The sequence below is a fragment of the Homo sapiens genome, chromosome 7 (assembly GCF_000001405.40).
Source record: "Homo sapiens chromosome 7, GRCh38.p14 Primary Assembly".
NCBI lineage: Eukaryota > Metazoa > Chordata > Mammalia > Primates > Hominidae > Homo > Homo sapiens.
The window spans coordinates 127572235-127593389 of record NC_000007.14 but is presented as its reverse complement, the minus strand read 5'-3'; the positions used below and the strand labels follow the sequence as shown (position 1 = coordinate 127593389).

The window sequence follows — 21155 nt, the reverse complement described above, 5'->3', positions numbered from 1 at the left end:
GTATTTTGTTAAGTTCAAGATAACCAAGAAAAATCTATCAGCTTTTATGGCCCTTAGGAGGATGAGGTCAAAATGTTCCAGATGCTATTTTGCAGGGAGTATGAGGAAACCCTAGTTAATCAGTTGACATCAAATTACTCATATTCATCAGGAAGGCTGGCTCAGGACCTGGGTAAGGAGAAGGGCCTAGGTGGAGAGAGCACCAAGCACCCCTCCTCAACCCCAGCTGCTCTGCCAGTGGGTAGGACATCTGGCTGGGCAGATAGAGCTCCTGCAAGGGTATCTTTCCCCTCCAAAGAATCTCTGAGTTATAGTCTCTTGGACTCACTTCCTGCAAAGCTTGAGGAGAAAACCCAGCTCAGAACCTGGAAAAGTGACATGAAAGAAAAACAAAGGCAAAAACAAGTGATGATGAGTTCTGCCTAAGCCTGGCTAGGATCCAAGGGAAAATGGGCAGTCGATCACACTTGGGGAATAAGCCACACCCCTGGTTCCTTTTTCTGAGTCAGGGTCTTGCTCTGCTAGCCAGGTTGGAGTGCATCTCAGTTGACTGCAGCCTTGATCTCCCAAGCTCAAGCGATCCTCCCGCCTCAGCCTCCTGAGGTGCTGGGACCACAGGTGTCCATCTCCATGCCCAGGTAATTTTTTATTTTTGTTTTTTGTAGAGATGGGGTCTTGCCATGTTGCCCAGGCTGGTCTTTAACTTCTGGGCTCAAGCAATCCTCCTACCTCAGCCTCCCAAAGTGCTAGGATTACAGGCATGAGCCACAGTGCCCAGCCACCCGTGGTTCCTTATACCTGCTTTCCTATTCCCCATAGGAGGGGTCTTCCCAAGTAGCAAGAGTCTCAGTGGTGTGCAGCAAGGAACTACAAGCCCCAGACCCCACCGATGTTTTATAAAATAAGGGTAATAGACTATTAGTGGCAGAATTCCCTGGGTAATTTTATTTATTTATTTAATTTATTTATTTATTTTGAGACGGAGTCTCACCCTGTCACCCAGGCTGGAGTGCAGTGGCACGATCTCAGCTCACTGCAAGCTCCGCCTCCCAGGTTCACACCATTCTCCTGCCTCAGCCTCCTGAGTAGCTGGGGCTACAGGTGCCTGCCACCACGCCTGGATAATTTTTTGTATTTTTTTTTTTCTAGTAGAGATGGGGTTTCACCGTGGTCTCGATCTTCTGACCTCGTGATCCGCCTGCCTCAGCCTCCCAGAGTGCTGGGATTACAAGCGTGAGCCACTGCGCCCGGCCTCCTCTGGGTAATTTTAAAGATGCATATTGTTGGGCATCAGACTAGTCCTGATGAATCACATTTTCTGAAATGTACCTCAGGATTCGTATTATTAACGCACATTCTCTCCCCCTCTAATTTTAATGTGTAAGGCAAACATTAAGAACGGCTCTAAGTAGCTACGAGAATGATGGGAAACAATTACGTGGTTCATGGAACTATGAAGGGAGATCCTGTAATCTTCAGCAAAGGCTCCTTGGAGCTGGGAAGGAATGAGATTTGCACCACTGTAAACCCTACAGTATTTCCAGCCCAAGAATAAGGAGGGAGAAGCTGAGCTGAGGGTATGTGTGGGTGGGGTTGCCCTGCAGCCTTAGCTGCTTTGATCCTCTCCCACGTTGTCTCTTGGTACCCAGTAACCTAGCCTCTCCTTTGCAGGCTACAGACAACACCGTGTACAAACCACAGCAAATTTATTACTCAAGATCCAGTGCCACATTATAGCACCACCCGAAGCCCTCACCTTCCCCCTCCCAACCTGGCCCCTAGAGTACACCCAAAACAGAAAAAAAAAAGGAAACCCAGATCCCTGCTCCTCCTCTGGAAGAGGGGGCCTTGGCCAGGAAGCCCCTTCCATAGGTCCCAGCAGGCAGGAGAGTGGACCCCTCTGTGCCCAGAGAGCAAGGCTCCAGGCTCCAACAACAGAGAGAACATGCAGGCAGGAGCAGGAGCAGAGGCCTGTGGCTATGGGGGAGGAAAAGTGGGAGGAAAGGGCACTGCCTGAGGAGTCCGGGAGTCTGGTCATCCCGGGGATGCACGCAGGAGCTTCCGGGCATCAGGGGCCTGCCCCTGGCTGGTTAGCGCTTTGACAGCTCGTGGGACAGCCAGTCCAGACCATCGTACAGACCTGTGCCTTGGGTGGCACAGGTGGCCTGGACATACCACTGTGGGGAAAAGGAAAGAAAGAGGTCAGCAACCAGGAACAAAAGGAATGCCTTTATATCTCTGTCCCAGCCTGCAGCTTCCCTCAAGAGGCAGGATTCAGCACCAGGTGGGCAGGACCCCTACCGTGCGGCTGCGTAAGTGCTGTAGCCCCAGCTTGTCAGTCAGCTCGCTCACGGGCATGGCGTTGGGCATGTCCTGCTTGTTGGCAAATACCAGCAGCACTGCATCCCGCAGCTCGTCCTCCTGCAGCTGAGAGAGGAGAAGAGAAGGTGGGACCCAGGCTGCGTCTCCTCTACTGTGTTGGGGAATTCCCTTTCTACCTCCTAGCATCTTGATTGGAAAAAAAAAGTATTGTGCAGTCTGCCGTTGAAGACAAGACATAGTTGTAAATGAGCTTGAGGTGACCTGAGCCCATAAGTCCAGAAAAGAAAGACCTTTTCCTAATTTGAGTACTTGCCTAGGCAAAATGACAACATTTCCAAATGGAAAAGGCAGGAATGTAAAATGTTTCTCTTTGCCACATATAAGTCCCATCTCTCCCACAACTTCTCAGACTCAGATGTAAAGACATGAGAATGCGGCCGGGCGCAGTGGCTCACTCCTGTAATCCCAGCACTTTGGGAGACCAAGACGGGTGGATCACCTGAGGTTGGGGGTTCAAGACCAGCCTGGCCAACATGGTGAAACCCCGTCTCTACTAAAAATACAAAAATTAACTGGGCATGGCAGCGGGCGCCTGTAATCCCAGCTACTTGGGAGGCTGAGGCAGGAGAATTGCTTGAACCCGGGAGACGGAGGTTGCAGTGAGCCGAGATTGCACCATTGCACTCCAGCCTGGGCAACAACAGCAAAACTCCCATTTCAAAAAAAAAAAAAGACAAGACAATGCACAGAAAAAGTGAAAAAGTCACTCCCATCCAAAACAGGGTGAGATACACAATGTGTCTGTCCACAAAGAAAAACTTATATTCCTGGTCTTCAATGCCTGTTGGGGGCTCCCTGACTTCTATACCACTACAGAGATCACTCTGTCCCCAAGCTGAGGGCTCAGTTCCCAGGGCTCTGGGTACTCACCATCTTCTGGAGTTCATCAGCAGATTCTTGGACCCGCTCCCGGTCATTACTGTCCACCACAAAGATGAGGCCCTGGGCAGGAAGGAAGGAAGAAAGGAGAAGCAATCACTTCTGCCTGGGACATACCGTAGTGTGGCCCTTTCTGTTTTCTTCCCATTTGTAATTGTGTCAATCCTTCTCATCTAGTAAACTCTACAGAAGTTTACAGAACTCTATAGAAGCTCTACAGGAGTCATGGCACAAACTAGAGACCCCACTGCAAAGAGGAAGTAGTTTATCCAAAGATGTGCAAGGAAATAAAGACATGTTATGAGGGCTAAATCAGGCAGCCTGGTCCCAGAATCCTGCTTCTAAAGAGAAGTCCAAGCTGGGGAAGACTAAGGTGAGTTCTGAAGAGTGAGTAGGGGATAGCCAAACAGAAGGGGTAGAAGTGGGGAAGGGTTTTTTCCTTGGCCTGGGGGCCCAGCCTAGGCCAACAATTCTGTTCTCCCAGCCCTAACACCTTTTCCCGTGGGGTTAGAAAGTCCCCTCCCAACACTCCACCTGAGTGTTCTGGAAGTAGTGCCGCCACAGAGGCCGAATCTTGTCCTGGCCTCCCACGTCCCAGACTGTGAAACAGATGTTCTTATATTCCACTGTTTCTACATTGAAGCCTGCAGATAATTGGAAAAAAAAGATGAGAAAACTCCTGAAAGAAAGGAACTCACTAAAACTACTTAGATTTCAGCAGGGACACAAAACCAGAAGGCAATGATCAAGGCCCAGGGGAACAGAACCCCAGAACTGGCGGTCAACAGGGCGGGGCTAGGTCACATCCACCCTGCCTCCGGTATCCACGTAGAGATACCCTGACCCACTTCTCAAATAGCTGTATCTGGTGTCAGGGTCAGCTCCAGAAAAGTGGCAGAACTGGGAGCAGACCCCGCGAGGGCCCGCCGCGGCGCTCCCGCTCCCTGCTTCGTCCCCGGGCTCACCTATGGTTGGGATGGTGGTGACAATCTCCCCCAACTTCAGTTTGTACAGGATTGTGGTCTTGCCAGCCGCATCCAAGCCAACTGCAACGGAAAGGGGCACAGGGATGGAGATGGGAGCGAGGGAGCCCCCTAGAGACCAGGGAAAGGGAGAGGCCACAACAGCTGATGGTGACTGGGGCGGAGAGCGGGAGCGCCTCCAGGTGCGCGTCGTTATCTACCTTTGAGGCCTGGAGGGCAGTCGGGTGGCGTGAGCCAACTCCAAAGAGGGCGCGGAGCGGGAGAGGACTGGGAGGCAAGGGGCACGGGAGGTAGGCCGCGCTCGTTTTAAAAGTCGTCTCCAAGGGCGGAATCCTCCCTTCTTACCAGCCGGGCTGGGGCGGAGGGAGCTTCACCCCACCCAGGCCCGCAGCTCCGGGTGTCAGGCCCCGGGGTCGGCGATGCAGACCGGGACCCGCCCGAGAGCAGAGGCCCCGGGGCGTTATGAGGTGGGTGACTCGGGGCCAGAGACCCAGGTGAGCGGGGCTGGAGGGACGCGGGGGCGGAAGGGCTGCGCCGGGGCCGGCGCCCCGGTCCGGGCCGCGCGCTCGATCTGCCTCACCCATGAGAATCCGCATCTGCTTCTTCCCGAAGATCCGCGAAAAGAGCGCGGACACGGTGAGGCCCATGGCGGGGCCCGGGGAGGGGCGCGGGCACCGACGCGGGGTGCGGGCTGGAACTGGCCGGCCGCGGGGGGATGGGGCGCAGCAGCAGCAGGAGGAGGCTCCGCCGCCGCCTCCGCGCGTCGCTGCCCTCCCGACGTCACCGCGGGCCCGCCCCCGTCCGGGCCCCGCCCCCGGCTCTCGGCCCCGCCTCCCCCGGCTCTGGCTCCTAGGGGAGCTGAAGCTCCGCGAGTTGCCGCTGCTGGCCTGGGTCCCGTGCGGCCCTTACTTGGGAACGGGTCTAGGTCTCTAACGCGCCTGCCAGGCCTGTGGCCGCCGAACCGGCAGCCCGAGCGCGGCTGAGGAAAGGATTCATCGCTCCGCAGCGGCCCCTGCCCCCATTTTCAGTGGCCGGCCGCTGGGCTTTGGTTTGTTGCGTCCAGGCCCCTAGGGGCTCCGGTTTTAGCCCTTGGGAACCAGTAGCACTGAACGTGTGCACCACTCTCCTTTGGGGAGTGGAAGCTGCGATTAGGGGTCTTGGTCCTCCCTTTACTGCCTCATCTTCCACCGAGGGACTTGCGCGTAGTAGGTGGTCGTGTGAAGAGTGCGCGGGAGGTAGGGGAAGGTGCCCGAGTGCTAGCTAGCTTCCATGGTTCCTCAAAACGCCTACTTCCTAATTCCCAATCCGCAGAACCAGTGTAAGATTCCCGGCCTTGGGCGGCGGGGTCACAGACCCACTCCTGGGCTGTTGGAGAAGTCCACCTTCGTTTGGATCGCCCTGCGGGCCCCGCCTCTCAGTCCAGGCGCTGGCCGCTTTGCCGAAGTTCCTCACTTTGCCACAGACTTGTGGACCTGGCTTATTCTTGCACATCCATTCAGGATTTTGTGAAGATCTTGACTCCGTAGACCCAAAGAGCTTCACATGTCATTTCCCTGCCTCATTTTAACATCTGAGAGGAGAATAGCAAAATAGGAATGAAATTCTTCTGCGGTGGAGACTGGCTCATTGCCAGGCATTATTAGGCCTAACAAATGCTTGTTCAGTTGAACTGGACTGATAGATTCTCAATGGAGCGAGGGTAGGTGTTATGTCTACTCTGGATTCCCAGTGGGCTTCTAGGATCAATTGTTTATGGACTCGAGGTAAACTGAGCTGGGAATAAAAAAACCTTCACTCATTCATTTGCTTTTTCAGCAGATATTTACTGAGCACCCACCACTTGCCAGCACGTGATTTCAGGCTTTAGTTCAAATCTTAATTCTGCCATTTCTTGAGGATTTGGCTTCAGCACTCCTCATAACTCTTCCGTTATTTCATCATCTATAAAATGAGACTTGTTCTAACTTAAGGGGTTATGGTGAATCTTAAAATGATTTGATAATGTGACTGAATGTTATGTATAATACAGCTTGATGTTATTTGGGCCACTGAGAAACGGGGTCTGAACAGACCTCCAGGGCCTGCCCCATCCTGATCTGCAAAGTCTGTAACAAGGACAGACTTTGGGAAACAGGTATGAGTGAGTGAATGACTTTCCTTTTCTCTTCAGTCATAGACTTGCATCCCTAAGAAGGCTTTTACGAGGCTGAAGAGTACATTTTAGAGAGTTCCAATATAATAACAGAACTAGTGTTCACCAAGTTAGGTCAATTCTACATTTAGCTCTTTTATCAGCCTCTTTGCTTCCATCTCTGTTGTCACTACCTTCTGTTCCCCATGACTGAAAGTCTCCTCACAGGTTTCCTGCCCCTTGTTCCCTCCAACATGTCATACAAGTCTTGATGACATCCCACTTTTCAGATTAAAATCCATTAGGGCCTTACTATAACCCAAGATAAAATTTAAATGCCATAAGTTGGGTCCCTACCTATTGTGCCAGCCCCTCTGTTGTCACCTCCTTCACATACCCTAAGCTACTGAATGCTTTCTGGGTGAGTCAAACTCCGATACCCTACAGGTCTTTGCATTTTTTTCCACCTGCCTGGAATGCTAGTTTCCCTGATCTCTGGTTAGGTGGACAATCACGACTCATCCTTCAAATCCCAAAGTATTATTCCCAAGAGCCTTCCATGCCTCACCTAGACAGGCCTCTTTCCTCTTAACTTTCATACCACTTTGAATATACCCAGACATACTGGTGTGATAGCAGGACATATTTGTATGTCTGGTTCCTCACTAGATTGCGAGCTCCCTGAGGGCAAGGTCGTGTCTCTTAATGGTGTTACCATCTGGCACAGCACGTGATACGTTGAGAATCAGACTGATTAGAACTCCTAAACTTACTAGCTGTGTGACCTTGGGCATGTTACGTATAACCTTTCTGCCTCATGTTTTCATATCTGTAAAATAGTGCTAATGAGTATAGTGCTTACAAGAATTACTGTAAAGACTAAATAGCAAAACTCTTGTGAGCTCCTGGTATATAGCTGGCACTCAGGATAGACATGGCTATAGAGTGCCCTCCGTAAATATTTGTGGAATCAACTCAGCAGAACTAAGGAAGGGTACTATTAGGCTGTATGCCTACTAGGTACCAAGCACTGTGCTATAGAGGACTGCAGTTTTCGTGGTCTAAATGGGAGTCTTAATTGTTGCCTTTTAGGGACCATGGGTCCTGAGCTCCCAAATCGTTGGATGCGTCGTTCACCTGGGTGTTTGGTAAGAATGCAGTGCGACGTTGCTCTGTCGCTCGCTGAGCGTAGCCCGAGGTCAAGCTTGGGCGCTCTCACAAAACCGGTGCCACTCTGGTGTCTTCGACTTTGCTGGCTTCGCCTTTCCCAAGCCTGTTTTTTGCCGCTCGCGGCCCCACTGCGTTCTCAACAGGCCGCGCCCACCCACCGGCCGACTTGGCCCCGCCTACCTTGGGCCCACTGGGGGCGGAGCCTGCGGCGCCTCGCTGACGTCACTTCCAGCGGACACGGAAGCGCCGTTGTCGGCAGGCAGCTTTAGTTAGGATGTCGTGATGGGACCGAGCTCAGCGTAACCCTCTGGCCGACGTGGGCCGAGGGGGCCGGCCCGGGCTGCTGTGGCCCAGACGAGCGGAGAGTGCGGAGCGGCTTCTGGGCCAGCGCTAACGAGCCCTGGCAGTGCGCACCTCTGGTGCCAGTGTCGCCCCGCCTCCGGGGTAGAATCCGCCCCAGCCCTCCGGGCCTGGGACCGGGCGGCCGCTTTCGCCAGTCCGTCCGGCCGTTCCGCATTAGGTCCGGGATAACTAGGTGGAGTAGGTGTGCGGCCCGCCGCCGGACAGCCCGCTCGCTGTTTCTTTAAGCCCCCGCCTGCGTCTTCACGGCCCTCTCCCGTTCTGCTGGAAAGCTGACGTGGGGCAATCCGTTCAGACCCTCCATGGAGAAGTTTGGGATGAATTTCGGGGGCGGCCCGAGCAAGAAGGACTTGCTGGAGACTATAGAGACCCAGAAGAAGCAGCTTCTCCAGTACCAGGCACGGCTCAAGGATGTGGTCCGTGCCTATAAAAGCCTGCTGAAGGAGAAAGAGGCATTAGAGGCCAGCATCAAGGTGCTGTCGGTATCCCACGAGGCAGATGTGGGCCTCGCAGGTGTCCAGCTTCCAGGCCTCACCTTTCCTGACTCTGTGGATGACCGGTGCTCCACTCACAGCGAGGATAGCACTGGGACCGCCACTAGCTTGGATACTGCGGCCAGTCTCACCAGCACCAAGGGTGAGTTTGGGGTAGAAGATGACAGACCGGCCCGTGGACCACCACCTCCAAAGTCCGAAGAGGCCAGTTGGTCCGAGAGTGGCGTTAGCAGTAGCAGTGGGGATGGGCCATTTGCAGGTGGGGAGGTGGACAAAAGACTGCACCAGCTGAAGACTCAGTTGGCTACTTTGACCAGTTCTTTGGCTACAGTCACTCAGGAGAAGTCCCGCATGGAGGCTTCTTACTTGGCTGACAAGAAAAAGATGAAACAGGACTTAGAGGATGCCAGTAACAAGGCGGAGGAGGAGAGGGCCCGCCTGGAGGGAGAATTGAAGGGGCTGCAGGAGCAAATAGCAGAAACCAAAGCCCGGCTTATCACGCAGCAGCATGATCGGGCCCAAGAGCAGAGTGACCATGCCTTGATGCTGCGTGAGCTCCAGAAGCTGCTGCAGGAGGAGAGGACCCAGCGCCAGGACTTGGAGCTTAGGTTAGAAGAGACCCGAGAAGCCTTGGCAGGACGAGCATATGCAGCTGAACAGATGGAAGGATTTGAACTGCAGACCAAGCAGCTGACCCGTGAGGTGGAGGAGCTGAAAAGTGAACTGCAGGCCATTCGAGATGAGAAGAATCAGCCAGATCCCCGGCTGCAAGAACTTCAGGAAGAGGCTGCCCGCCTTAAGAGCCATTTCCAGGCTCAGTTACAGCAGGAAATGAGAAAGGTAATTATCCATATCTCTTTCAAACATCAGCCATTGACCTGAAGTGAGAAATATTAGGGTTTTTTTCCTCCTTTGCTAGTTAGAGCTAAGTGTCTATACTGTCATTTTTGATGCCACCTGAGAAGTTCCACTAGTGAACCTGGGAAGTCCTGTTCTATGCGGTGTTGACATATGTGCTTCCAGGAGGATGTGGAGCTTCTCAGTGTAGGCTGGGTTGAAGCCAGACAGCTCTGCACTTCTGGGCATTGGCATCTTACCAGCTGTGCTCTATGAAGCAGTATAGTGGCAGCTGTATAGTAAAAGGTAGCGTGTCTTCTGTTGGTATGTGCCTCTAGGAAGAGTGGCCGAAGGCAAAGGGGATTTTCTCAGAAGTAACCTCTTGTCATTGCCTTTACTCAAGATGTGCCTGTTCTGGAGAAGTGCTATTTTCCAGAACAGGTATTGAAAGGGTGCCTCCTTTCAATGTGGAGAGGGAGATCCAGCGCAGTTTTGAACTTCCAGGAATATTGGATAAGGAAAAGAATGCTGTATGATTTCTTAATAGGATTTGAGGAAGCACCTGAGAAACAACAGTAACACACATTATATGTGGTTAGGTGGAAAGCAGAACAATAGCAGATGTACCAAGGTGCTTCATATTGTTCAGTATAATATGTGTCTTGCAGAATCCAAGCAGGTAATAGGAACTTTTGTTAGCTCCTGAATCAACCGAAAAATCCCTAGTTAGCATTCTTGCCAGGCCATCCCAAACCTGTGACCCTTTTGCTCCCCTCTCCTGCTTTCTCAGAGTTTGCTGTGGGGCTTTTGTGGATGCATTTTTGTCTGTTCCCTTGTTTTGCAGACAGCTCTTGCAGAGGATCAACTCCGTCAGCAATCTCAGGTAGAAGAACAGAGGGTGGCAGCCCTGGAGAATCAAATATCCGAGGTGTCTGAGCTGCTAGGCACCTACGAGAAAGCCAAGCAGAAGGACCAGCTGGCCATTCAGAAGCTGAAGGAGCGCATTCTGCAGCTGGACCTGGAGAACAAGACACTGGCTCTAGCAGCCTCCAGCAGGTCCCCTTTAGACAGCCATGGAGAGGAGTCCAGTCTGGATGTCAATGTCCTGAAAGATAAGATGGAGAAGCTGAAGAGGCTGCTGCAGGTTGCGGCCAGGAAAAGCCAGGTGACCCTGGATGTGGAGAAGCTCTGTGACCTGGAGATAATGCCCAGCTCGGAGGCTGCTGATGGGGAGAAGGCTACTGCACTCTATTACCAACAGGAGCTGAAACAGCTGAAGGAAGAGTTTGAGAGGTACAAGATGAGAGCCCAGGTTGTCCTCAAAAGCAAGAATACCAAAGATGGTAACCTGGGAAAGGAGCTGGAGGCAGCCCAGGAACAGCTTGCAGAGCTGAAGGAGAAGTATATTTCCCTGCGGCTCTCCTGCGAGGAGCTGGAGCACCAACACCAGCAGGAGGCTGATGACTGGAAGCAGGAGCTGGCCCGGCTGCAGCAGCTCCACCGGCAGGAGCTGGAGCGGTGCCAGCTGGACTTCAGGGACCGCACACTGAAACTGGAGGAGGAGCTGCACAAGCAGCGGGATCGTGCCCTAGCTGTGCTCACCGAGAAGGACTTGGAACTGGAGCAACTGCGTTCTGTGGCCTTGGCCTCTGGGCTGCCAGGACGCAGAAGTCCTGTGGGTGGTGGCGGTCCTGGGGACCCAGCTGACACATCATCCTCTGATAGCCTGACCCAAGCATTACAACTTGCAGCGGCCAATGAGCCCACTTTCTTTCTGTACGCTGAGCAACTGGCCCGCAAGGAGGTGGAGATCACATCACTGAGGAAGCAGAAGCACAGGCTGGAGGTCGAGGTGCATCAGCTGCAGGATCGGCTGCTGGAGGAGGGCGAACGGCATCGTGAGGAGGTTGCAGCCCTGCAGAGCCACATCGAAAAGAACATCAGGGACCAGAGCAGGGAGGGAGCCAATCTGGAGTACCTCAAAAACATCATCTACCGCTTCCTGACCTTACCTGACTCCCTGGGCCGCCAGCAGACTCTCACAGCCATACTGACTATCTTGCACTTCAGTCCAGAGGAGAAACAAGTGATAATGCGACTCCCAACCAGTGCCAGCTGGTGGCCTTCTGGCAAGAGATGATGCCATTTTCATGAATTCCTGGAATTTCTGTGCCTCTTTTATGTGGGAAAGGGCAGGCTCTGGTTTCTGCTGCCTCTTCTCTTACATTGTCATTTATTTCTTCACTGTGTTGAGCTGGGAGGAGTCTTCAATGTGGGAAGGGATTTTCTGCCAAATGCCATTAATGCTGCTTTATCCTTAGGCCCTAGAGATACTGAAAGTCCTGGGGCAGTATCTTCTGATGGTGTGCATGTGAGGAGAAGATGAGGTTAGGACTGAGAAGTGCAGAAGTTGGAACAGTGGTAAGGCTGTTTTAAAATAAGATGTTTTGTTTTAATAATATGCTCCTGGCACAAAGCTAGGAGTAAATGTGACTCCAAAGGGAGTTCAGTTAATCTCTGAAATGCACAAAACCTAGCTATTTTCTCCCTCTCATCACAGTCTGAGTCTGGTCCATTGCTACCCCAATTCTCTGGGGACATAAAACCAGGCTGGAAAGGGACCAGGAAGTTTGAAATAGTGACATATCATCCACTAGTCCCAAGGGCTAAGGAATAGTGAGTTTATTCTGGAAGGAACTGGGAAGCTTAGTCTAATTAGTGCCTGGGGATGACCTATGCAATCACACCGCTTATGACCATCCTAGAGAGGGCCCTGAGCACCAGCTTGATCTTAGGGATTTCCAAAGTAACCTGCTTTTTGCCTGGATAGGGTTAAAATAGACCTTTCTTGCCTATCCTTGCCTTAACCTATCTGCCTGAGGTTGGCCTGAGATTGTGAGTCAACGACTTTGCTATCTTTTCCTCAGTGTTGAACTTTCATTAAGAAATAAAGTCCTAGCTTCTTACAGAGAGGGGTCCAAATGGTGAATGCTCATCCTGCCTGGATTCAAGGAATTAGCTCAGAGATTGGCCCCTAGCTTTTCTGCCTTTGTAGGGACAGCAAAAGGGGAAAATTTGCTGCAGAAAATTCCAAAAGATTGCTGTAGCTCTCACAGGGAAGTGGTAAAGATCAGCTAAACCTGGGTTGGGGTGCTTTCTGCCCAGTGGGTCTTGGCATAAGTAGATTAATCCTGCTCTTTTAAGAAAAGGCAACTTATTCAGGCAGTCTGGAAAGGGGGTTCTCAGAAAACTCAGTTTCTTTATTCCTTCTTTTCTCCCAACTACTGTTACTGGTTATAGAGGTCTTTGGACTCTAAAGACCAATGTTTGGCCACTAACTGGACTAATATGTATCTTTCTGTGATTTCATCATAGAGGTCTGTTTTGTGAGGGTTTGGGGTGCAGAAAACTTTGATTAAATCTTAATGGGAGGCTGGGTGACCTGGATTATCTACAGTGAGCAGACTTAAATGGAACAGAAGTTTATGTGTCCAAATGATGGAATCATTAAACCTGAGTGACTTGACCTGTGTGGTTCCTTAATAGTATCTATATATCTAGACAAAAATAGATTGTGAATGTAAATGGTGAATGAAAAGGATGGAAATAATGTTTTCATATGTTAATCCATGAGCTTGAATCCAGGGAGGAATACCTCGGTGCTTTAACCACCTTAGTTATAACACATTTCTTAGCCTGGAATTGTGTGTGTATATGTTTGTGTGTGGCCACCTATGCTGGAAAATGCTTTCTTATGGGTTTAGTGGGCAGGCTTAAAACTTCCATAATTACACTTCAACCTCTATAAGTAATCTGTTTATGAATGCTTTATTATCCTTAAAATCAGGATTCATAGTATCCCGAAAAAGTGTCTCAGGACATCAAGCCAAACTAAAAAATAGTAATAAACTTGCTTAATTTTCTTACCTTGTTCTCTCTAAATGTAGGATGTCTTGTAATTGTTATTTCTAGGTAGCTGTGGACAGAGTAGAAAGATCCATAGTCACAGTTGCTTTCCTAGGACTAATAATCCCTGTGCTTTTGACTTTTGAGAAGATACCAAATAGGAAAAGAAGCAAGTCAATTTCTGATTAATAATTTTAAAAATTGGGAGATACATAAAGCTGTGAAGACTCCCAACTGAAACTAAAAGACTTACTCCCTTCCTACCCTTGACACAGTCTAGAAACAGACAAAATCAATGCAGACATGCTAAATTCAAAATTCCTTATCTCCCACACCCTTCCCTGAAACAAGTTTTCCAGTTATTTGGCTGGTTTGCCTGTGACAGATACTGTAAGGAAGGAAAGGGAGAATGAGGGTGAAAGAATTGAGATCAGAATTAGAGAAAAACACATTTTCCTTCGGCCCTGGTCCCAGAATATCAGACGGTATATGAGATGTGTTAGTAAGGTAATGAGGCTGAGCCTTACGTGATTAACCATTACCACGCAAGTTAGAGGAGGATTGCTATGAAGAAGAGATGGACGGAGAATGTGGAGGGAAGGCATTCTGACCCCTTCTTGGGCACCTCCCATCTGGGGAATAAACCTGTCCTTGTATCATGCCCTGGCTGTTGTTAAATCCCTGTCTGTTACCTAGAATTCAAGCTCTCAACCTTGTTTTGTGAAGCTACTACTACTAAGGATCATTTTTGCTCATTCTTGTAGAATGTCCTGGTGTCATGTTGAGCCATTTACACCCATTTTTATCATTTACTCCTCCCAGGGGCTATTACCCCCATCTTAACAGATGTTAAATTTGTGGAAGATCATGTAACTAGTAAATGTTTGTGTCAGGTCTGATTAGCCACAAAGCCTGCTTAATCTGGGTATGCTCCTGCCTCCTCAGCCCTTGGGAGGGTCAGAGCCTCTCCCTAGATTTCTAGGGATGGGGAGACTGCTCTCTAGGCTGGACTGGACTGGCTCAAATGGAGAGAACGTCTCCAGCTATCAATTGCAGCCAAGCAAAGTTGCTACGCTATAGGGTTGAGCAGGCAACAGTGGTTCTTCATAAGAGCCCTAAAGCTGCTCTGTCCCCAGTTTCCAGATGATTGCTAGCTTTAGAACTTGGGTAATTCTAACACAATAAAAGAGTACTGGGTACTAGCTGGTGTTAATAGTATGTTCCAACTATCACCTCTGGAAAAACTGGGGAAACAGTTTTGGGAATTGGAAATAGAATCCTAATGAATGAGTCACTTTACTCTCCTCTCCCCCCTCATCCCCCTTTTCCCCCAGGCAGTCTGGTGACCTCAGATGGATGGTTTTTGGAGCAAAAAACCCCCTAATTATATAAATAGCCAGCGTAGTATCTGAAACAAGGTAGGTGCTAAAACACTCTTTATCTCCACCAGGAATGTTAAGTAGCAGAATTAGAAATCGGACTGAGGCCTTCTGGATTTAAATCTAGTGTTTCTTTGTCACAAGTATGGCTGTAAACAAAAGGAAAAATGACGACTGTCTTTTATCCAAGTGTCTGCTATGAGGGAGACTACTAACATTTCCCCTACCTTGTTTAAATCACACAACAATCAGAAGCATATCTGTTTTGCAGATGAGTGAGTGGAGACTTGGCAAGATGGGATGAACTGGCCAAGGGCCAGAGCTAGTCATGGCAGAATCAGGAATCAGACATGTTTATATGGACCAAAAGGCTCAGGCCCTTTCTGATGTCTGTGCTGTCTCCCAGCAGAGGGCAACGTGGAACACTGAAGAAGTGTTGCTCACTAAGAAATTTAGGGGGCTCAGTTGCTGGCACGGGCTAAGGAAGAAGGGGTCCTTGTTCAGGTGGTCCTCTCTTCAGTGCCAAATGACTGCCTCCTAATTTCTCGGAAACGTGCTTTCCTAGCAGCAGAGCTGTTACACACTGAAATTTATGAAATGGACTCTTGTTACAAGTCAGTTTTATGAGAGTTTGAGTAGTGACAGACTGTTTTTCCTGGGACCCAGATCTCCTGGATAACCTAAATATTGAAGGTGCTGACAGACTCACACTGCAGGGAGCCCATAAAAGCAAAGGATGCCTGGAGAAAATGACCCTCCTAAGAAGAAATGCCCCGTCCCTTGACTTTAGCAAGGAAAGCATCTCTGGTTCAGTATAACTTCATCTATTGCCATGATCTCCTTCCATATCTCACAGAAGGAATCTGAATCCTGATACCACTTTACATGAATAAGTTTTTAAATGTAGGTTTACACATACATTTCATACTTTTTTTTTTGAGTCTCCCTCTGTTGCCCATGCAATCTCAGCTCTTAGCTCACTGCAACCTCCGCCTCCCATGTTCAAATGATTCTCCTGCCTCAGCCTCCCGAGTAGCTGGGATTACAGGCATGCACCACCACACTTGGCTAATTTTTGTATTTTTAGTAGAGACAGGGTTTCACCATGTTGGCCTGGCTGTTCTTGAACTCCTGACCCCAAATGATCTGCCTGCCTTGGCCTCCCAAAATGTAGGGATTACAGGCGTGAACCACCACACCTGGCCCATACATTTTATATTAACTGAGGCTGTGCTGTCCACAGTCAAAATATATGAAGGGGTAGTATTTAGATTAGAGTCCATTGTCTTTCCCTTAGTTCAACAGCTACCAGGCTTTTGAGCATGAGGGAAGCCTCAGTCTAGGCAATTTCACAGGCCCCTTGGGGGCATTCTGCCCTGGTATCACGTTTACTCCACTCCACTGGAATAGCTGTCCAAAATGGAGGCTGAGCCAGCTGAGATGAGATTTGAGATAAGTCTGGAGGCCAGGCTTCTTTGGTTTGGTGTTTTTGAGTGCCTGCATTGTATTACTTGGCAAGTTTAAATTTTTCACATCTAGAATCCTCAGGCACACTGCTCTCTGCCTTCAAAGTCCTTCCCCACCCCTATCCCAAACCTCTGTAGTATCCCAGACCTTATCCTTGAAGACTCAACTGAAATGTCACTTCCTCCATCCTGACTTTTCTGATACCCAGGGACTTCATCCTCTGAGGTTCTCCAGTACTTTGCTCAGTGCTTAGACACAGAAGTGATTTCTTGTACTTTCATTATTCAAGTTACTTCTCTGTCTCCTGGACTGCCCTATAAATCCCTGAAGGTCACTCCCATGCCCCATTCATCTTTGTGCTCTCAGGACTTTTCATATCCTGGCACATAGTAAGTGTTCAATAAACAGCTGAATGAATCAAGAAGAGACTGAAAAATACTAATCTTGTACCTTCAGAATGAGCGATTTAATTTTTGTTAGTATTGCTTTCTCCCACCGGTCTGCTTTCCTGCTCGTTTTTTCTTTAGCCATATTAGTGAATGTGACTAGAATTGACTCTGGGAATATGTCTATAATTGATGTTAAGTAAAATAGTTTCCTTTCGTTGTTAGAGGACTTGGGGAGCTAGTCCTGGTCCCATCAAGGAATTCTCTTCAGAGCTAATTGGAAGATCGCTGAGCAAAGGAGAAAATAAGATGTGGCAAGGACTCTAGGCTCAGGCATATAGCCAAACTTTGGGTCTCAGGTCTTATTATTTTTTAAATTTTTATTTTTTACCCCCATACCTAGAGGATGATTTTTTTTTTTTTTTTCCTGAGGCAGGGTCTTGCTCTGTTGCCTAGGCTGGAATGCGGTGGCATGACCATAGCTCACTGCAGCCTTGAACTCTTGGGTTCGTGTGATCCCCCTGCCTCAGCCTCCTAGGCAACTGGGACTTCAGGTGTGCACCACCAAGGGTGGCTAAATTTTTTTTTTTTTTTTTGAGACGGAGTCTCCCTCTGTCCCCTAGGCTGGAGTGCAGTGGTGCTATCTCGGCTCACTGCAACCTCTGCCTGCCAAGTTCAAGCAGTTCTTCTGCCTTAGTCTCCTGAGTAACTGGGTTACAGGTGTGCGCCACCACACCAGGCTAATTTTTGTATTTTTAGTAGAGACAGGGTTTTGCCACGTTGGCCAGACTGGTGTCGAACTCCTGACCTCAAGTGATCCGCCTGCCTCAGCCTCCCAGAGTGCTGAGATTACAGGTATGAGCCACCACACCTGGCCCTTGCCTGGCTAATTTTACTTTTTACAGATGGCATCCTGCTATGTTGCCCAGGCTGGTCTAGAACTCCCGGGCTCAAGCAGTCTTCCCACCTTGGCCTCCCAAAGTGTTGCCATTACAAGTGTGAGCCACTGTGCCTGGCCTCTCAGGTCTTACCCTTGATGAAGACTCCAACAATAAGCTTCCCTGATGGGGAACCTGTATATCAGAGGCCCCTGGACTTGAGGGCTGTGTAGAATAAGCGCCTTCATTACTTGATCTCAAGGGGATTATGGATTGTCCTTTTTTGTCTTTCTATGGCTGTGACAAACTCTTGATAAATGGAATTTTGTTCTCTCTCTGATGCCCAGGCTCAGTCACAGACAAAAAAAGTTGGTATTTTTCTGTGAGCTGACATTTGCTCCTTCAGACCAGCACCCAACTTCTGGAGAGGGACTAGGCGAGATATGCTTGCCTGGCATGAGGTAAGAGTCAACCGTGGTGTGCTCTTTCTCTTCTAAGTCTTACCAGAACACTTTCTGGGAGCGCTTCTAGTGTCTTGGTTAGTATTTGTAAATGGTTGGTGGTCAGTGAGTCCTCTGGGTACAGATGGACATGGTATTTCCAGTGGTTAGTGAACCATACTTTTGAGACACCTGGGGCCTAAATCACTCAAGTCAGCAGCCCCTGCTCATTCAGCCCTGAGGATGACTCTGGCTGTATCTGGATGTATCTTTCAAGTTGTGGTGGCTGACTTGGCCAACAGGCCCAGAGAATCAGAGCCTGATTTCCCAGCCAGAGGAGATTCGCTAACCCAGTATGAGTGATGCTGCTGTACCCGTCTCTCCTCCTCCCTCCATTTCAGCCCTTTTGCTTCTCCAATATAAATCATAATTCCTTCCCTGAAGTTGTTTACAGTCTATCAAGGGTCACAGTATGTGCATCTAGACTGCAATCCCAGGAGGCCTCTGTATGCTGAGAGTGGTTGATCAATGGATCGTATGAGGGTGAGGAGGCAGGGAGTGATCCAGTGCAATGAAGAAAGGCTTCAGGATATGAACCTGTCTGTGAGTGATGATCTGACCTGCATAATATGGCTTAGATAGGGAAGTGCATCCACCGCAGCAGAAAAGCATGGACCAAAGGCCCAGACTGTGCAAGCCCATTGTATTAATAGATTGGATATTGAGGGAGAATAACATTTGTGGAATCACGGGATGTTAGATCTGAAAGGGATATTACAGCATGTTCGGTCATGCCCCTCTCTTAATAAAACAGGAAACCAAGACCCACACAGGACAAATTGGCTCTATCACCAGTCTGGCTTAGGAGTAGAGTAGAAACTCTTGTCCAGAGTGATGGGTCATGGCTGGATGGCTAGCACAGTAGGATGCCAGGTTCACTGGGGGTTTGGGCACTGTCAGCCTGGGTGAGCAGAGTAGCAGTAGGCACAGAGGGAGGGGGACAGCAAGGCAGCAGCTCCATTGATGTGCCAGCCTTCCCTTTCCTCCCCTGCCACAGCTCCTGGGACTGTTAAAGAGATACAAGAAGAGAGGCCAGGCATGGTGGCTCACGCCTGTAATACCAGCACTTAGGGAGGTAGAGCCGGGTGGATCACCTGAGGCCAGGCATTTGAGACCAGCCTGGCCAACATGGTGAAACCTCGTCTCTACTAAAACTACAAAATTTAGCTGGGCGCGGTGGCATGCACCTGTAGTTTCAGCTACTTGGGTGGCTGAGGCAGGAGAATCACTTGAACTGGGGAAGCGGTGTGAGCCAAGATCGTGCCACTGCACTCCAGCCTGGGTGACAGAACGAGACTCCGTCTCAAAAAAAAAAAACAGAAGAGAAAGGGGAGACACCAGAAGGATGATGCTATTGATTTGGCCAACTAAGGGTAACCTACCCAGGAACTCCCACCTGTGAGGGCTAGTGTTTATGGGCCAAAATTTTAACCCTATAGGTGGAGCCTGGAACATTTAGGTTATATAGTCATGTGTTGCTGAATGACTGGAATGTGTTCTGAGAAAGGTGTTGTTAGGCAATTTTGTCATTGTGTGAACATCATAGAGTGTACTTACACAGCCTAGATGGTATAGGCTACTGCACACCTAGACTATATGGACAACCTGGTGCTCCTAGGCTGTAAGCCTACATGGCATGTTACTGTACTGGATACTATAGGCAATTGTAACACAATTCTAAGTATTGTATATCTAAACTTAAGAAACTTTAAAAAGGTACAGTAAAAAAATAAATTTTTTAAGATAAAAATGGTACATGTGTATTGGGCACTCACCATGAATGGAGCTTATGGGACTGGAAGTTGCTCTGGGTGAGTGAGTGAGTGAGTGAGTGAGTGAATATGAAGGCCTAGGAATTATTGTACACTACTGTAGACTTTATAAACACTGTATACTTAGGCTACTCTTAATTTATAAAAATTATTATTATATATATTTTTTGAGATGGTGTCTCCCTTTGTGGCCCAGGTTGGAGTGCAGTGGCATGATCTCAGCTCACTGCAACCTCTGCCTCCTGGGTTCAAGTGATTCTCCCACCTCAGCTTCCTGAGTAGCTGGGATTACAGATGTGTGTCACCATGTCCGGCTAATTTTTGTATTTTTAGTAGAGACGGGATTTCATCATGTTGACCAGGCTGGTCTTGAACTCCTGACCTCAAGTGATCTGCTCGCCTCAGCCTCCCAAAATGCTGGGATTACAGGCATGAGCCACCGTGCCTAGCCTATTCTTTCTTTAATAATAAATTAACCTTAGTTTACTGTAACTTTTTTACTTTATGAACTTTTACATTTTAAAAACTTTTTGACTCTTTTATAATAATACTTAGCTTAAAACACAAACCCATTGTAGAGGTGTACAAAAACATTTTATTTATTTTTAGAGACAGGGTCTTGCTATGTTGCACAGGCTGGACTCAAATTCCTGGGCTCAAGCAATCCTTCCAAGTAGCTAGGACTACAGGTGTGTACCGCTACACCTGGCCTTTTATTTCTTTATATCCTTATTCTAAGAGCTTTTTTCTATGTTAAAAATTATTTATTGTTTTTAGTTTTTAAATGTTCTTGTTTAAAACTAAGACACAGGTCGGGTGCTGTGGCTTATGCCTGTAGTCTCAGCACTTTGGGAGGCTGAAGCAGGCAGATCACTTGAGGTCAGGTGTTTGAGACCAGCCTGGCAACATGGTGAAACCCTGTCTCTGCTAACAATACAAAAATTAGCCAGGCATGGTGATGGGTGCTTGTAATCCCAGCTACTCGGGAGGCTGAGCCAGGAGAATAGCCTGAACCTGGGAGGCGGAGGTTGCAGTGAGCTGAGATCGCGCCACTGTATTCCAGCCTGGGTGACAGAGTGAGACTGTGTCTTAAAAAAAAAAAAAAGACACAAACACACACATTAGCCTAGGCCTATACAGGGTCAGGATCGTCAAGATCACTGTCTCCCATCTCTGCATCTTTTCCCACTAGAAGGTCTTTGGAGCAATAACACGCATGGAGCTGTCATCTATGATAACAATGCCTTCTTCTGGAATACTACTTAAAGAACTGCTGGTGGCTGTTTTACAGTTAACTTAAAAAAATATAAGTAGAAGGGGTATACTCTAAAATAATGATAAAAAGTGTAGCATAATAAATACATAAACCAGTAACATAGTCATTTATTATTGTTATCCAGTGCTATGTACTGTACATAATTGTGTGTGCTGTACTTTTATATGACTGGCAGCACAGTGAGTTTGTTTATACCAGCATCACCACGAACATACATGGTGGTTTGGCATTGCAATGGCAGTGACATCACTGGGCAACAGGAGTTTTTCAGCTCCATTGTAATCTTATGGGACCACTGTTGTATAAGTGGTCTGTGGTTGACTGAAATTTCCTTATGTGGCACATGACTGTGTTA

The 21155-nt window shown here is 48.9% G+C and overlaps 2 protein-coding genes and 2 long non-coding RNA genes across 5 annotated transcripts in view, besides 11 other annotated features; 3 read left to right on the top strand and 1 right to left on the bottom strand.

Annotated features, from left to right (window-relative positions):
- Positions 1-1149: 1149 nt before the first annotated feature.
- Positions 1150-3521, top strand: LOC105375489 (uncharacterized). Of its 2 annotated transcripts, none has more exons than XR_007060513.1 (3): positions 1150-1261; positions 1386-1577; positions 3439-3521. It is a non-coding gene; the product is annotated as an uncharacterized LOC105375489 (long non-coding RNA). The 2 variants fall into 2 exon arrangements; XR_007060512.1 differs by lacking the exon at positions 3439-3521 and adding an exon at positions 1672-1863.
- ARF5 (ARF GTPase 5) lies at positions 1690-4979 on the bottom strand. The gene is made up of 6 exons (NM_001662.4): positions 4825-4979; positions 4227-4307; positions 3796-3905; positions 3253-3324; positions 2302-2427; positions 1690-2177 (listed from the first exon to the last, which is right to left on the bottom strand). The coding sequence occupies exons 1-6, from the start codon at positions 4889-4891 to the stop codon at positions 2091-2093; spliced, it is 543 nt and encodes a 180-aa protein (NP_001653.1). The 5' UTR covers positions 4892-4979; the 3' UTR covers positions 1690-2090.
- LOC105375490 (uncharacterized) overlaps positions 3544-21155 on the top strand; it is a 104836-nt gene continuing 87224 nt past the window's right edge. Inside the window, exon 1 of the long non-coding RNA XR_007060511.1 lies at positions 3544-3634. This is a non-coding gene — a long non-coding RNA (uncharacterized LOC105375490). The remainder of the gene's footprint in view (positions 3635-21155) is intronic.
- Positions 3653-4278: an enhancer, noted in NCBI's record as "H3K27ac-H3K4me1 hESC enhancer chr7:127229166-127229791 (GRCh37/hg19 assembly coordinates)". NCBI's record gives its function as "activates a minimal SCP1, AML or CMV promoter by ChIP-STARR-seq in primed H9 embryonic stem cells {active_cell/tissue: H9 hESC(primed)}" and the evidence as "EXISTENCE:reporter gene assay evidence [ECO:0000049][PMID:30033119]".
- Positions 4279-4905: an enhancer, noted in NCBI's record as "H3K27ac-H3K4me1 hESC enhancer chr7:127228539-127229165 (GRCh37/hg19 assembly coordinates)". NCBI's record gives its function as "activates a minimal SCP1, AML or CMV promoter by ChIP-STARR-seq in primed H9 embryonic stem cells {active_cell/tissue: H9 hESC(primed)}" and the evidence as "EXISTENCE:reporter gene assay evidence [ECO:0000049][PMID:30033119]".
- Positions 4279-5531: a biological region, named in NCBI's record as "H3K27ac-H3K4me1 hESC enhancers GRCh37_chr7:127227913-127228538 and GRCh37_chr7:127228539-127229165".
- Positions 4653-5142: a silencer, noted in NCBI's record as "silent region_18594". NCBI's record gives its function as "represses an Ori minimal core promoter by ATAC-STARR-seq in GM12878 lymphoblastoid cells {active_cell/tissue: GM12878}" and the evidence as "EXISTENCE:reporter gene assay evidence [ECO:0000049][PMID:35858748]".
- Positions 4906-5531: an enhancer, noted in NCBI's record as "H3K27ac-H3K4me1 hESC enhancer chr7:127227913-127228538 (GRCh37/hg19 assembly coordinates)". NCBI's record gives its function as "activates a minimal SCP1, AML or CMV promoter by ChIP-STARR-seq in naive H9 embryonic stem cells {active_cell/tissue: H9 hESC(naive)}" and the evidence as "EXISTENCE:reporter gene assay evidence [ECO:0000049][PMID:30033119]".
- Positions 5532-6158: an enhancer, noted in NCBI's record as "H3K27ac-H3K4me1 hESC enhancer chr7:127227286-127227912 (GRCh37/hg19 assembly coordinates)". NCBI's record gives its function as "activates a minimal SCP1, AML or CMV promoter by ChIP-STARR-seq in naive and primed H9 embryonic stem cells {active_cell/tissue: H9 hESC(naive and primed)}" and the evidence as "EXISTENCE:reporter gene assay evidence [ECO:0000049][PMID:30033119]".
- Positions 7446-8445: an enhancer, noted in NCBI's record as "H3K27ac-H3K4me1 hESC enhancer chr7:127224999-127225998 (GRCh37/hg19 assembly coordinates)". NCBI's record gives its function as "activates a minimal SCP1, AML or CMV promoter by ChIP-STARR-seq in naive H9 embryonic stem cells {active_cell/tissue: H9 hESC(naive)}" and the evidence as "EXISTENCE:reporter gene assay evidence [ECO:0000049][PMID:30033119]".
- Positions 7676-7725: an enhancer, noted in NCBI's record as "active region_26586". NCBI's record gives its function as "activates an Ori minimal core promoter by ATAC-STARR-seq in GM12878 lymphoblastoid cells {active_cell/tissue: GM12878}" and the evidence as "EXISTENCE:reporter gene assay evidence [ECO:0000049][PMID:35858748]".
- On the top strand, positions 7794-12762 carry GCC1 (GRIP and coiled-coil domain containing 1). Its single transcript, NM_024523.6, has 2 exons — positions 7794-9239; positions 10081-12762. The coding sequence occupies exons 1-2, from the start codon at positions 8208-8210 to the stop codon at positions 11374-11376; spliced, it is 2328 nt and encodes a 775-aa protein (NP_078799.2). The 5' UTR covers positions 7794-8207; the 3' UTR covers positions 11377-12762.
- Positions 8446-9446: an enhancer, noted in NCBI's record as "H3K27ac-H3K4me1 hESC enhancer chr7:127223998-127224998 (GRCh37/hg19 assembly coordinates)". NCBI's record gives its function as "activates a minimal SCP1, AML or CMV promoter by ChIP-STARR-seq in naive H9 embryonic stem cells {active_cell/tissue: H9 hESC(naive)}" and the evidence as "EXISTENCE:reporter gene assay evidence [ECO:0000049][PMID:30033119]".
- Positions 8446-10364: a biological region, named in NCBI's record as "BRD4-independent group 4 enhancer GRCh37_chr7:127223080-127224279".
- Positions 9165-10364: an enhancer, noted in NCBI's record as "BRD4-independent group 4 enhancer chr7:127223080-127224279 (GRCh37/hg19 assembly coordinates)". NCBI's record gives its function as "activates an origin of replication core promoter dependent on BRD2, P300/CBP, MED14 and CDK7 cofactors, and independent of BRD4, by STARR-seq in HCT116 cells {active_cell/tissue: HCT116}" and the evidence as "EXISTENCE:reporter gene assay evidence [ECO:0000049][PMID:35650434]".

Excerpts from the sequence above, each read along its gene's own strand:
- ARF5 (NM_001662.4), bottom strand. The coding sequence starts at position 4,891 with ATGGGCCTCACCGTGTCCGCGCTCTTTTCGCGGATCTTCGGGAAGAAG. Across the intron at positions 3,906-4,226 it reads CACCACCATCCCAACCATAG|GCTTCAATGTAGAAACAGTG; the intron begins GTGAGCCCGGGG and ends AATTATCTGCAG. Across the intron at positions 2,428-3,252 it reads CTGATGAACTCCAGAAGATG|CTGCAGGAGGACGAGCTGCG; the intron begins GTGAGTACCCAG and ends CTCCTCTCTCAG.
- GCC1 (NM_024523.6), top strand. The coding sequence starts at position 8,208 with ATGGAGAAGTTTGGGATGAATTTCGGGGGCGGCCCGAGCAAGAAGGAC. Across the intron at positions 9,240-10,080 it reads TACAGCAGGAAATGAGAAAG|ACAGCTCTTGCAGAGGATCA; the intron begins GTAATTATCCAT and ends CTTGTTTTGCAG.